The 13,099-nt window shown below is 44.2% G+C and overlaps 1 protein-coding gene across 1 annotated transcript, besides 2 other annotated features; it reads right to left on the reverse strand.

The window, feature by feature from the left end:
• Nucleotides 95–274: an enhancer, noted in NCBI's record as "active region_6494". NCBI's record gives its function as "activates an Ori minimal core promoter by ATAC-STARR-seq in GM12878 lymphoblastoid cells {active_cell/tissue: GM12878}" and the evidence as "EXISTENCE:reporter gene assay evidence [ECO:0000049][PMID:35858748]".
• Nucleotides 345–434: an enhancer, noted in NCBI's record as "active region_6495". NCBI's record gives its function as "activates an Ori minimal core promoter by ATAC-STARR-seq in GM12878 lymphoblastoid cells {active_cell/tissue: GM12878}" and the evidence as "EXISTENCE:reporter gene assay evidence [ECO:0000049][PMID:35858748]".
• APOF (apolipoprotein F) lies at nt 413–2,702 on the reverse strand. Its single transcript, NM_001638.4, has 2 exons — nt 2,575–2,702; nt 413–2,034 (listed from the first exon to the last, which is right to left on the reverse strand). Exons 1-2 carry the CDS (start codon nt 2,588–2,590, stop codon nt 1,070–1,072), a joined length of 981 nt encoding a protein of 326 aa, NP_001629.1. The 5' UTR covers nt 2,591–2,702; the 3' UTR covers nt 413–1,069.

Genomic DNA, 13,099 nt, shown 5'->3' on the forward strand with positions numbered 1-13,099 from the left:
AACTTCGGCTAACCCCCCTCGGACCCGCCCCCTTGTAGTTGGCAGCGGAAGTCCGGAGCGGCCCCCATTCCCAGCCGCCACCCCGACACTGGCTGCCATTCAGTCAAGCCCTTCCCAGACTGCGAGCTCACTGGCGCCGCCGCAACTCCGCCCCTCCGCAGGGCGGGACAAGCTGAGCCGAAACCACACCTGCAGCTTCAGCGATTGGTGGAGAAGTTCAAGTAGGCACTTTCTACGAGGGGAGGAGTCCAATTAGTGGACTAGCCCAAGACTGAAACAGCTGATTTTCGAGAACCCGCGCGTGAGCCCCGGAACCGAAACTAGCTTGAGGAGCCTGGAGACGCCAAGGGCTCCATGGGAAGGGGTGGGACCGGAATTTCGACGCCTTGGGATAGGAAGAGGAGGGCTGAGGTAATGAAAACAATTTTTTTTTATTTTTATTTTTTGAGACATGGTCTCGCTCTGTCACCCAGGCTGGAATGCAGCGGCGCGATCTCGGCTCGCTGCAGCCTCGACCTCCCAGGCTCAGGTGATTCTCCCGCCTCAGCCTCCCAGGTAGTTGGGACTACAAGCGTGCATAACTCCGCCAGGATAATTTTTTGTATTTATTGTAGAGACGGGGTTTCGCCATGTTGCCCAGGCTGATCTTGAACTCCTGACCTCAGGTGATCATCCCGCCTCAGCCTCTCACAGTGCTGGGATTACAGGCGTGAGCCACCGCACCTGGCTAATAGCTATTTATTGAAAGTACTGTGATAAGCATTTTAGATTCATTGTATCATTTTAAATTTACAGGGCAACTCATTGAGGTTAAAATCATTCTATCTCCTTTAGAAACTTCAAAACTGATCTTAGTTCAAGAAAGAAGTTACTATTCAGTGATCACCGAGGCTCTAACAAGTGGAGCCTAGATTCGAAACCAAACCCTGTGACTTCAACACCCAAACATTTACGTTCTTACGTTTTACTGTACAGCCTTCCTCCTGGATAAATCAGATTAAAATTTTGAAGACATGTATATAGCTTGTCAGGGTAGTACAGTTATTAATTCTGTGGTTACCACATTCTTTTATATCTCAAGACTCCCAGCCCCAGGATCTAAGTCATAGCTCTTGATTATGGCCCACCCCCAGTAGGGAGCTGAACTTACTACTTCTGATATGAAAGAAGCCAGAGTAGTTGTTTCTTCCAAGTCACTCACATCTGAGATGGCCCTCAAACCCTCCTTGGTGGTCTCCGGCTGAGAGATGTTTGCGTCTTTCTGATCTTGGTAATACTGGATCAACTGCTGAACCCCAGACCTTAATGCAGGTTTAAGTGCAGCACTGATCGCTAGACCCATAGGCCCCCCTGACATCCCAGCCATGGTCATCAGAAGGTCATATCCCAGATCTATGGCCCCATCTCGGCCTCGTTCCCTGGCCTTGCCCAGGCAGTTTTGAGTAGCATAATACAAAGCTGTGCCCAGGTTGTAGAAGGTTCCCACTCCTGGCAGCAGCTGGACTACATTGTGCACAGCTTGCTCCTTCTCATTCTCACAGTCCTCTGTCGGGAGGGAGCGCCCGACCCTTCCTGTGCTTTGCTGCTCCCTGGCTAACAGCTGCAGAGCAGAGGCCAGGGCTTCCACTGACACGTTCCTCTCTGTGCTTCTGCCTTTCTGGAGCCCTCGAAGATGCTGGATGAGGACCTGTGTAGCATTCACACCACCCTGGCGGTAGAGCTGTAGCTGTAGAGCCCAAACATCAGCCTGACAACCAGCTTCCTCCAGGGCATTCCTTAGAGCCAGGCTTACCAAGAACTTGGGTAGAGGGGCCATGTGGCTGAAACCAGGCAGTGACTTTGGGTGCAGAAATTGGCAGGACAAGGGGTCTGAGGAGGGTGTCTGGGATTCCAAGGACAAGGGAAAGTGCATCAAGACATTTGTCTGCTTTCCATATGAAGTGGCATCCACAGGGTGCAGCAGGAGGTAGCAAAGTAGCAGCTCAACTGGTATCATGATGAGTCTGAGGCCACGCATGTCTGGAGCAGAGTACCCTAGAAAGGGGAGAAATCCGAAACATACAAACCATTTCCCTAAGGGCGATGGTGAGCCCAAGACTCAGTTAGGGGGACACCTCATACATCACCTGCTTCCAAGCTTTTGTACTTTCTTTTTAGAGACAGGGTCTTGCTCTGTTGCCCAGACTAGAGTGCAGTGATGGGATCACAAATCACTGCTGCCTTGAATTCCTGGGCTCGAGGGATCCTCCTGCCTCAGCCTCCCAAGCAGCTGGGACTACAGGTGCGTGACACCATGCCCAGCTAATTTTTAAATTTTTTGTAGAGACGTGGTTTTGCCATCTGGCCCAGCCTAGTTCTGAACTTTGGGCTCAAGTGATCCTTCCACCTCCGCCTCCCAAAGTGATAGGCTTCCAGATGTGAGCCACCGCGCCTGGCCCCAAGCTTCTGTTCTTTTTAGGTAAAGGCCTAGGAAATAGGAAATGCACCCCAGTTGCTCCCACTTGGTCTCCCCCATTTACAGGTCACCAGGGACTTCTGTTTTATTTCCACCCATATATAGGGACCCCAAATTACCACACAGTCCAGTCATTGAGAAGTGAGACTGCCTTGGTAGGTTTGATCGCTTCCTGATCCTGTTCTGCCTAGTTCTGTGTCCCATGAGGAAAGGAGATATTTGCTTTCCCCTATGATCAGTGAAGGATGTAATCTCTGCAAATATTTGCCCATTTATACTGGCTGCTCAAACCTTGTGCCCCTTGTCACACACTCAACCTCTATGCCTACAGTCCTGTTCTTTGGCATTTCCTGTATGTCCCTGCCACATTCCCACTCTAAGCTCATGATAGGAGCCAGGGAAATTCAGAATTAGGAAAGATGAGATGTTTGTGATACTCTCATTTCTCTTCATTTTAAAAATTAAATTAGCGGCTGAGCATGGTGGCTCACGCCTGTAATCCCAGCACTTTGGGAGGCCAAGGCGGGCGGATCACAAGGTCAGGAGTTCGAGACCAGCCTGGCCAATATGGTGAAACCCTGTCTCTACTAAAAAAAAAAAAATATATATATATATATATATATATATACACCCAGGCGTGGTGGTGGGCGTCTGTAGTCCCAGCTACTCAGGAGGCTGAGGCAGGAGAATTGCTTGAACCCGGGAGGTGGAGGTTGCAGTAAGCCAAGATCGCACTACTGCACTCCAGCCTGGGTGACAGAGTGAGACTCCGTCTTAAAAAAAAAAAAGGAGGGGAGCTGACACCTACTAAGTGGAGAGGGGCAAGGCTAACACTGGTCACATATGTGTTTAAGGGAAGAGGTGAAATAAAGAGCATTCATCTGTCCTAAGTGGTCTCCAACATTTCTAACTACTTACTGTGTGCCATCCTTGAATACAGTCCTGGGAAAGGAGACTCATTACTTATGTGATATTGAATAGCTGAAATGAGCCGGGATCAATTCCTGGATCATTTTCCTCACAAAGCACTTCAGAATAGCTGTGGAACATTTGATAGATTATATTGTCACTGTCCATGGACAATTTAAATGATCTTGAGAGCTTCTTCAACTTTTTGCCTAATTCTTCAATATGCTCCCAAGACTCATACCTGCAGTTCTTGGTGATGTGGACACCCAAAACTTTGAACTGTGACACCAAGCATCATGGGAGATGGTTTCTCAGCAAACTCAATCACCATCTGAGCTACCTGGTAGGCCAGCTACCCCAGTGGGTATATTTGCCACCATCCATACATTTCCCAGGATGGGCAGCTGGGTGCTGGGTTTATTCACACTTCCCTAAGGGACTACTAGATTCGTCACAATGATGTTGGTATTGCCTTCCTCCCCATTGAACTTTTTGACTCTCACGGATGAGGGTTTCAGTGGTATCCTTTCCTCGCATCTGAAACTGCAGAACATGGGCCTCAGTTGGGCAGCCCACCTCCTCCAAGGGCACCCTCAGAGCTAAGTTGGACAGGTACTCAGGCAGAGGGGCTAGGGAGGGGGCTGTGTGTAAGAGATCTTGGCAGATCCTGGGATCTGGGAGAGGAATCTGGCTCTCCATGTTCTCCAAATAATGGAGAGCATGTTTGATGGATGCCCAGTCTCTGTTAAAGATGGCTGGAGGGTCAGAGTCTCATTCTGAGCATTTCTTGGAAAGGCAGACACCAGGGACAGCAGGACACAGCAAAGCAGCAGCACAGCTTGGACCATGGGGGGACAGCAGAGCAGCCCTGCTGGAAGGAAGCAGTGCTCAGGTTGGGAAGTGGAGAAAGGCTCAGGACAAAGAGACACCAAGACTGGCCAGAGCTAGAAAGTGTCTTAGCTCTTGGAAACTTCGGTTGCCCTGAGCACACCTCATCTTCACTCTTAAAGGATGTGGGTGATCCTCCTATTTTGAGGAGAAACAAGTCAGAGGAAAAAAACAGTCCAAACATCTCATTTGCTTTGGTATCTTCATGACCTGAATTACTATTATTGTTGTTGTTGCTGTTTTTAATCTGCCCTTTCCCAGAATCACAAGGAAACCAGAAAGTTGATGGCTTCCAAAACAGTGAAGGACAAAACATTTGCAAATATTTATGCATCTCTTCCCAGCCCAGACTTTGTCCTTCTCACCTTTGACCCATACTGACAAACTGACCTTTCCCCTTTTAGGCCCTGCAGTCCTGTCCCATATCTTTTTTTTTTTTTCTTTTTCTTTTTCTTTTCCTTTTTTTTTCTGGAGACACAGTCTCACTCTGTTGCCCAGGGTAGAGTGCAGTGGCACGATCACAGCTCACTGCAACCTCCACATCCCGGGTTCAAGCGATTCTTGTGTCTCAGTCTCCCTAGTAGTTGGGATTACAGGCACGCACCACCATGCCTGGCAAATTTTTGTTTTGTTTTGTTTTCTGGAGACAGTCTCACTCTGTTGCTCAGGCTGGAATGCAATGGCGTGATCTTGGCTCACTGCAACCTCCACTTCCCAGGTTCAAGAGATTCTCTTGCCTCAGCCTCCCGAGTAGCTGGGACTACAGGTGTGCGCCACCACGCCTAGCTAATGTTTTTGTATTTTTAGTAGAGATGGAGTTTCACCATGTCAGTCAGGCTGGTCTCAAACTCCTGACCTCGAATGATCTGCCTGCCTCGGCCTCCCAAAGTGTTGGGATTACAGGCGTGAGCCACGGCACCCAGTGACATATCTTTTCTATCCTAAGGTTTTACCCTAAACCTATATTTGAGCTGAGGAAAAGGTCCTCCGTATCTTCTTGAGGGGAGAAAGGGTAAGGCAGAATAGCTGGTGATCTCTGGGACCCCTAAACCATTTTTCTTTTCTTTTTTTTTCTGAGACGGAGTTTCGCTCTTGTTGACCAGGCTGGAGTGCAATGGCGCGATCTCAGCTCACTGCAACCTCCGCCTCCCAGGTTCAAGTGATTCTCCTGCCTCAGCCTCCCAAGTAGCTGGGATTACAGGCGTGTGCCACCATTCCCGGCTAATTTTGTATTTTTGGTAGAGACGGGGTTTCTTCATGTTGGCCAGGCTGATCTTGAACCCCTGACCTAAGGTGATCTGCCCACCTTGGCCTCCCAAAGTGCTGGGATTACAGGCTTGAGCCAGCCACAGCGCCTGGTCACCATTTTTCTTATTAAAAGAATATATTGGTTGGGAAGCCAAGGCAGGCAGATGGCTTGAGCCCAGAAGTTTGAGACCAGCCTAGGCAACATGGCGAAAGCCCCGTCTCTACAAAAATTATAAAAATTAGCCAGGAGTGGTGGCATGCACCTGTAGTCCCAGCTACTGGGGAGGCTGAGGTGGGAGGATCACCTGAACCTGGGGAGGTCAAGGCTGCAGTGAGCCATGATTACACCACTGCACCATCCAGACTGGGTGACAGAGCGAGACTTTGTCTGAAAAAGAGAATATACTGGATGGGAGTCCAGGGAAACTGGACAGATTGACAAATAAGACAAAATCAGAGCAACTTTTTTTTTCTTTTTTAGAGTCCAGTCCAGGTATTGCTCTATCTCCCTGGCTGGAGTACAGTGGCCTGATCATGGCTCACCACAGCGTTTAACTCCTGGGTTCAAAAGATCCTCCTGCCTCAGCTTCTCAAGTAGCTGTGACTACTGGTGTGCACCACCATGCCTAGCTAAAATTTTTTTTTTTTTTTTTTGTAGAGATGAGGTTTCACTATGTTTCCCAGACTGGTCTTGAACTCTTGGTCTCAAGCAGTCCTCCCACCTCAGCCTCCCAAAGTGCTGTGATTAGAGGCATGAACCACTGCACCTGGTTTATTTTTCACTTTTCTAATTCCAATGCAAAACACAAATAAAACATGTCCATCAGCTGAGCAGTAACTTTCCAAATCTAACCAAAACTCCAGGAATTAGGCTTTATCTTGGGTTTAGGGGTAACATTAGTCCAAAAATTAGGGAAATAAGACATCTGATGCCTCCTAAAAATGGTACCAGTTCCTACATATCATTATGGCCTAAAGTTTCCTCTGATGTCACTCACCTCAGGCACATGGCCAAAGGGACTAGGCCAATGGCAGGGTCCAGGGTCCCTCCCTCTATTTTTTTCGGTTCTTTCAGTTCCCAGGAGTGGCCCCTGACAACTAAGAGCAAAGACAGAAGCAGAGGAGTAAGTCTCCAGGGACACAGTGCCAACTTAGAAACAGCAAGAACTAAGTGGAAAGGAGTCCAACACTGTCTGAAATTACTAGACCCCAAACCCCTGGGGAATCCCTAAGACAATATATATACATATACCTACATGGATAAAATATACGTACACACACATACACGTATACCAGGCTGGAGTGCAGTTGGTACAATCACAGCTCACTGCAGCCTTGAACTCCCAAGCTCCAGCAATCCTCCCACCTCGGACTCCTATATATCTGGGACTTCAGGCACGTACCACCACACCTGGCTAATTTTTAAAATTTTCTTGTAGAGAAGGGAACTCACTATGTTGGCCAGGCTGGTCTCGAGCTCCTGGGCTCAAGGGATCCTCCTGTCTAGGCCTCCCAGAGTGCTGAGCCACTGCACCCAGCCTCCTAGGACTCTATAGTTTCTGTGTAGCAACACTAGAAGGAGTGAAAGATTTAATCCTTGTCTCCTAAGATCTATCACAAAGCAGAAATATCCATTCTTACCAGTTTTTCCTCATTGTACTGGAAGTTCTAACCAGTGTAATGTGGAAAGAATAAAAAATAAATGGCATAAAACTAGAAAGGAAGATGTAGAACGATATTTATTTAAATACAACATAGCTCTGGCTGGCTCAGTCGGTAGAACATGAGACTCTTAAAAACAACATGGGGGCTGGGCGCAGTGACTCACGCGTGTAATCCTAGCATTTTGGGAGGCTGAGACGGGCAGATCACGAGGTCAGGAGTTCAAGACTAGCCATGGCCAGCATGGTGAAATCCCGTCTGTACTAAAAGTACAAAAAATTAGCCAGGCATGGTGGTGCGCACCTGTAATCCCAGCTACTCGGGAGGCTGAGGCAGGAGAATCACTTGAACCCGGGAGGCAGAGATTGCAGTGAGCCGAGATCTCGCCACTGCACTCCAGCCTGGCAACAGAGTGAGAGTCTATCTAAAAAAAAAAAAAAAAAAAAAAACCAGCAACAACAAAAAAACAAAAAAAAGACATGGGGCGGGGCTTGAGACCAGGAGTTCGAGACCAGCCTGGCCAACATGGTGAAACCCCATCTTTACAAAAAATAAAAAACACAGCCAGGGGTGGTGGTGTGCATCTGTAGCCCCAGCTACTCGGGAGGCCGAGGCAGGAGAATTGCTTGAACCCAAGAGGGGGAGGTTACAGTGAGCTATGATTCTGCCACTGCACTCTAACCTTGGTGACAGAGTGAGACCATGTCTCAAAAAGTAATAATAATAAAATTTAAAAAAGTAATACAAAATAAAAACAACATGGACTAGGCATGGTGGCTCACACACTTTGGGAGGCCAAAGTCCAGGAGTTCAAGACCAGCCTGGGCAGCATAGGGGAGACCCTGTTTCTGCAAAAAAAAAAAAAAAAAAAAAAAAAATTAGCCAGCTCAGCTGTCCAGCTGTGGTGGCACACGCCTGTAGTCTCAGTTTCTCAGGAGGATCACTTGTGCCCAGGAGGTTGAGGCTTCAGTAAGCTGTGATCGTACCACTGAACTCCAGTCTGGGTGACAGAGGGAGACCCTGTCTCAAATAAATAAATAAATAAATAGATAGATAGATAGATAAATAAAATAATAATTAAAAAATAAAAAATTAAAAGAAACAATGTGATTGTTTATGCATAAATCCTAAAGAATACAATTTTAAAAGGACCAATAAGTTAATTTAGCAAGGTGACAAGATAAAATATTAATATATAAATGAATTCTATTTCTGTAGTCTAAAAACATACATTGAATGTTAACTTAGGGCCGGGTGCGGTGGCTCACACCTGTAATCCTAGCACTTTGGGAGGCCAAGGTGGGTGGATCACGAGGTCAGGAGATCAAGACCATCCTGGCTAACACAGTGAAACCCTGTCTCTACTAAAAATACAAAAAATTGGCCAGGCGCGGTGGCTCACACCTGTAATCCCAGCACTTTGAGATGCTGAGTCGGGTGGATCACAAGGTCAAGAGTTCAAGACCACCCTGGCCAACATGGTGAAACCCCATCTCTACTAAAAATACAAAAATTAGCTGGGCGTGGTGGTGTGTGCCTGTAATCCCAGCTACTCAGGAGGCTAAGGCAGGAGAATCGCTTGAACCTGGGCTGCAGAGGTTGCAATGAGCCGAGATCGCGCCACTGCACTCCAGCCTGAGTGATAGAGTGAGACTCCATCTCAAAGAAAAGAAAGAAAAAAATTTAGCTGAGTGTGGTGGTGGGCGCCTGTAATCCCAGCTACTCGGGAGGCTGAGGCAGGAGAATCGCTTGAACCCGGGAGGCGGAGGTTGCAGTAAGCCAAGATCGCGCCACTGCACTTCAGCCTAGGCAACAGAGCAAGACTCTGTCTCAAAAAAAAAAAAAAGAAAATTAACTTAGAAAATTCCAGCTGGTTACCATGGCTCAAGCTTGTAACACCTGGACTTTGGGAGGCTGAGGTGGGACGATTGCTTGAGGGTAGCAATTTGAGACCAGCTTTGGCAACATAGTGAGACCCTGTTTCTACAGAAAAATAAAATGAAAAAAAAAATTCCAATTACAATAGTGTTTAAAATAAACAAGTAAAATTCCTAAAAGAAGAAACAAGACAAGGATGCTCACTCTTGCTACTTCTATTCAACATTGTACTGGAGGTTCCAGCCAGAGTAATTAAGCAAGACAATGAAATAAAATGTACCCGATTAGAAAGGATGAAGTAAAACAACCTATATTAGTGGGTAGCATGATGTTGCATATTAAAAAAACTCAAACTTACACACACATAGACACACACACACAAAATAAGTACTAATAAATGGGTTCAGCTAAGTTGCAGGATACACTATCAATACACGAAAATCGATGATATCTCTATATATGTGCAATGAATAATTTGAAAATGAAGTTAAGAAAATTGCATTTATAATAGCAGCTATAAGTGTAAAACTTGTACATTGAAAACTACATGGGTGGGGGGAGGGGGAGGGATAGCATTAGGAGATATAGCTAATGTTAAATGATGAGTTAATGGGTGCAGCACACCAAGATGACATATGTATACATATGTAAAAAACCTGCACGTTGTGCACATGTACCCTAAAACTTAAAGTATTAAAAAAAAAAAGTCAAAGAAAAAAAAGAGCTCTCATCATTTAGAGATTCATACTGAAATACTTATGGATGAAAATATATTATTTGCTTGAAAATGGTGGAGGTGAGAAAATGTGGAGTATATGACTATGAATTGATAATTCTTGGAATTAGGTGATGAGAAATAGGTGTTTAATAGACTATTTTCTCTACTTTTTTATATATTTGAAATTTTCCATAATAAAAAGGTTTTTTTTTAAAAGAAAAGAAAACTACAAAACATTACTAAAAGAGATTAAAGGAGACTAAAGAAGATTAAAGAATGAGTTAAACCCAAAACTATTATAAGGAAGGAAATAATAGAGATTAGAGAAGAGATAAATAAAACAGAGAATACCTTTAGGCACAAATACTTGTGAAAAAATTAAAAATAGGCCCGGCAAGGTGGCTCATGCCTGTAATCCCAGCACTTTGGGAGGCTAAGGTGGGTGGATCACGAGGTCAGGAGATCGAGACCATTCTGTTAACACTGTGAAACCTCATCTCTACTAAAAATACAAAAAATTAGCTGGGCTTGGTGGCACACGCCTATAGTCCCAGCTACTCGGGAGGCTGAGGCAGGAAATTGCTTGAACCCAGGAGGTGGAGGTTGCAGTGAGCCGAGATCGTACCACTGCACTCACTCCAGCCTGGGCGACAGAGCAAGACTCCGTCTCAAAAAAAAAAAAAAAAAAAAAAAAAATTGTCTGGGCGCAGTGGCTCACACCTATAATCCCAGCACTTTGGGAGGCCAAGGCAGGTGGATCATCTGAGGTCAGGAGTTCAAGACCAACCTGGCCAACATGGTGAAATCCCGTCTCTACTAAAAATATAAAAATTAGCTGTGGTGGTGCATACCTGTAATCCCAGCTACTTGGGAGGCTAAGGCAAGAGAATTGCTTGAACCTGGGAGGTGGAGGTTGCGGTGAGCCAAGATCATGCCACTGCACTCCAGCCTGGGCAACAGAGCTAGACTCTGTCTCTAAATAAATAAATAAATAAAACAAAAAAACAAAAATTAGCCAGGCATGGTGGCAGATGCCTGTAACCCCCGTTACTTGAGAGGCTGAGGCAGGAGAATCACTGGAACAGGGGAGGCAGAGGCTTCACACCACTGCACTCCAGCCTGAGTGACAGAGGGAGACTCTGTCTCAAAATAATAATAAATAAATAAATAAATAATAATACAGATAAGAGAAAAACAATTGAGAAAATCAGTGCAACCAAAAGTTGGTTCTTCAAATAGATGAACAAAATTGACAAACCTTTAGCTACACTAACAACAAAAAAAGATAAAAAGACTCAAATTATTAAAGTTAAAATGAAAGTGGGAACATTACATTTTACAAAAATTAAAAGAATTATAAGAGTAATTAAACAATTACATGCCAACAAATTGGATAATCTAGATGAAATGAACAAATTCCTAGAAACATATATCTTACCAAGACTAAATCATGAAGTAATAGAAAATTTGAATTAAAGATATTGCATCAATAATCAAAAATCTCCCCAAAATGAAAAGCCCTGGACCAGATGGCTTCACTGGTGAATTCTGCCAAACATTTGAAGGAGAATTAATGCTAATGCTTCTCAAACTTTGCCAAAAGATCAAAGAGAAGGAACATTTCCTAACTCATTCCAGGGGTGAGCATTACCCTGATACCAAAGGCAGACATACACTAGGAAAAAAGAAAACATACACCAATATCTCCTATGAATACTGATGCAAAAATCCTCAACAAAATGCCAGCAAGCCAAATTTAGCAATGTATTAAAAGGATTATACACTGTGGGATTTATTCCTGGAATATAAAGGTGGCACAGTGTACGAAAAACAATCAATATAATTCACCACATTAACAGAATGAAGGAGAAAAATCATACAATCATCTTAATTGATGCAGAAAAAGCATTTGACAAAATTCAACACCCTTTCATGATGAAAACATTTAACAAACCAGGAATAAAAGGAAACTACCTCAATATAATAAAAGGCATGTATGAGAAAGTCATAACAAACATTATATCATACTCAATGGTGAAAGATTAAAGGCTATTCTGCTAATATCAGGAACAAGAAAAGGATGCCCACTTTTGCTAGTTCCATTCAACATAGCCCTAAAAGTTCTAGCCAGAGCAATTAGGCAAGAAAAGGAAATTAAAGGCATCCAGGTTGAAAAGGAAGAAGTGCAATTATCTCTTGTTCTTATGAATTTTTTTTTTTTTTTTTTTGGTGACGGAGTCTTGCTCTGTCGCCAGGCTGGAGTGCAGTGGCTCCTTCTGGGCTCACTGCAACCTCCGCCTCCCGGGTTCAAGCGATTCTTCTGCCTCAGCGTCCTGAGTAGCTGGGACTACAGGCACACACCACCACGCCCGGCTACTTCTTATGATTTTATATGTAGAAAACCCTAAAGATTTCACACAAAAAACTATTAGAACTGATAAATGAATTCAGCAAATTAGTGGATTACAAGTCAAGAAACAAGAACCACTTGCATCTCTACATATTAACAATGAGCCATTTGAAAATAAAATTTTGAAAACAATCCCATTTACAATAGGATAAAAATAAAATACTTAGGAATTAATTTATCCAAGGAGTTAAAAGGTTTATACAATGAAAACTATAAAACATTGCTGAAAGAAATTAAAGGAGATATAAATACATGAAAATGCATTCCATGTCCATGGATTAGAAGACTTACTATTGTTAAGAGGCCAACAGTACCCAAAGTGATCCACAGATTCAACGCAATCCCTATCAAAATCTCAATCATGTTTTTTTGCAGAAATTGAAAAGCCCATCCTAAAATTCATATAAAATCTCAAGGGACCCCAAATAGACAAAACAATATTGAAAACGAACAACTTCCTGATATCACAACTTACTGCAAAGCTACTATAAATCAAAACAGTGTGATATTGGCATAGCAGCAGACATATAGACCAATGGAATAGAATAGAGAGCCCAGAAATAAACTCTTGCATATATGGTCAAATGATTTTTGACAAGAGTGCCAAGACTATTTGATGAGGGAAAAGACAACCTTTCTAACAAATGTTGCCATAGGAAACTGGTATCTACCTGCAAAAAGATGAAGTTGAACCATGATTTAACACTATACAAATATTAACTCAAAATAGATCTAAAATCTAAATATAAGAGCTAAAACTATGAAGCTCTTAGAAGAAAACATAGAGGCCGGGCACGGTGGCTCATGCCTGTAATCCCAGCACTTTGGGAGGCCGAGGCGGGCAGATCATGAGGTCAGGAGATCGAGACCATCCTGGCTAACACAGTGAAACCCTGTATCTACTAAAAATACAAAAACAAAATTAGCCGGG

Source organism: Homo sapiens, chromosome 12 (genome assembly GCF_000001405.40).
Source record: "Homo sapiens chromosome 12, GRCh38.p14 Primary Assembly".
Classification (NCBI taxonomy): Eukaryota; Metazoa; Chordata; class Mammalia; order Primates; family Hominidae; genus Homo; species Homo sapiens.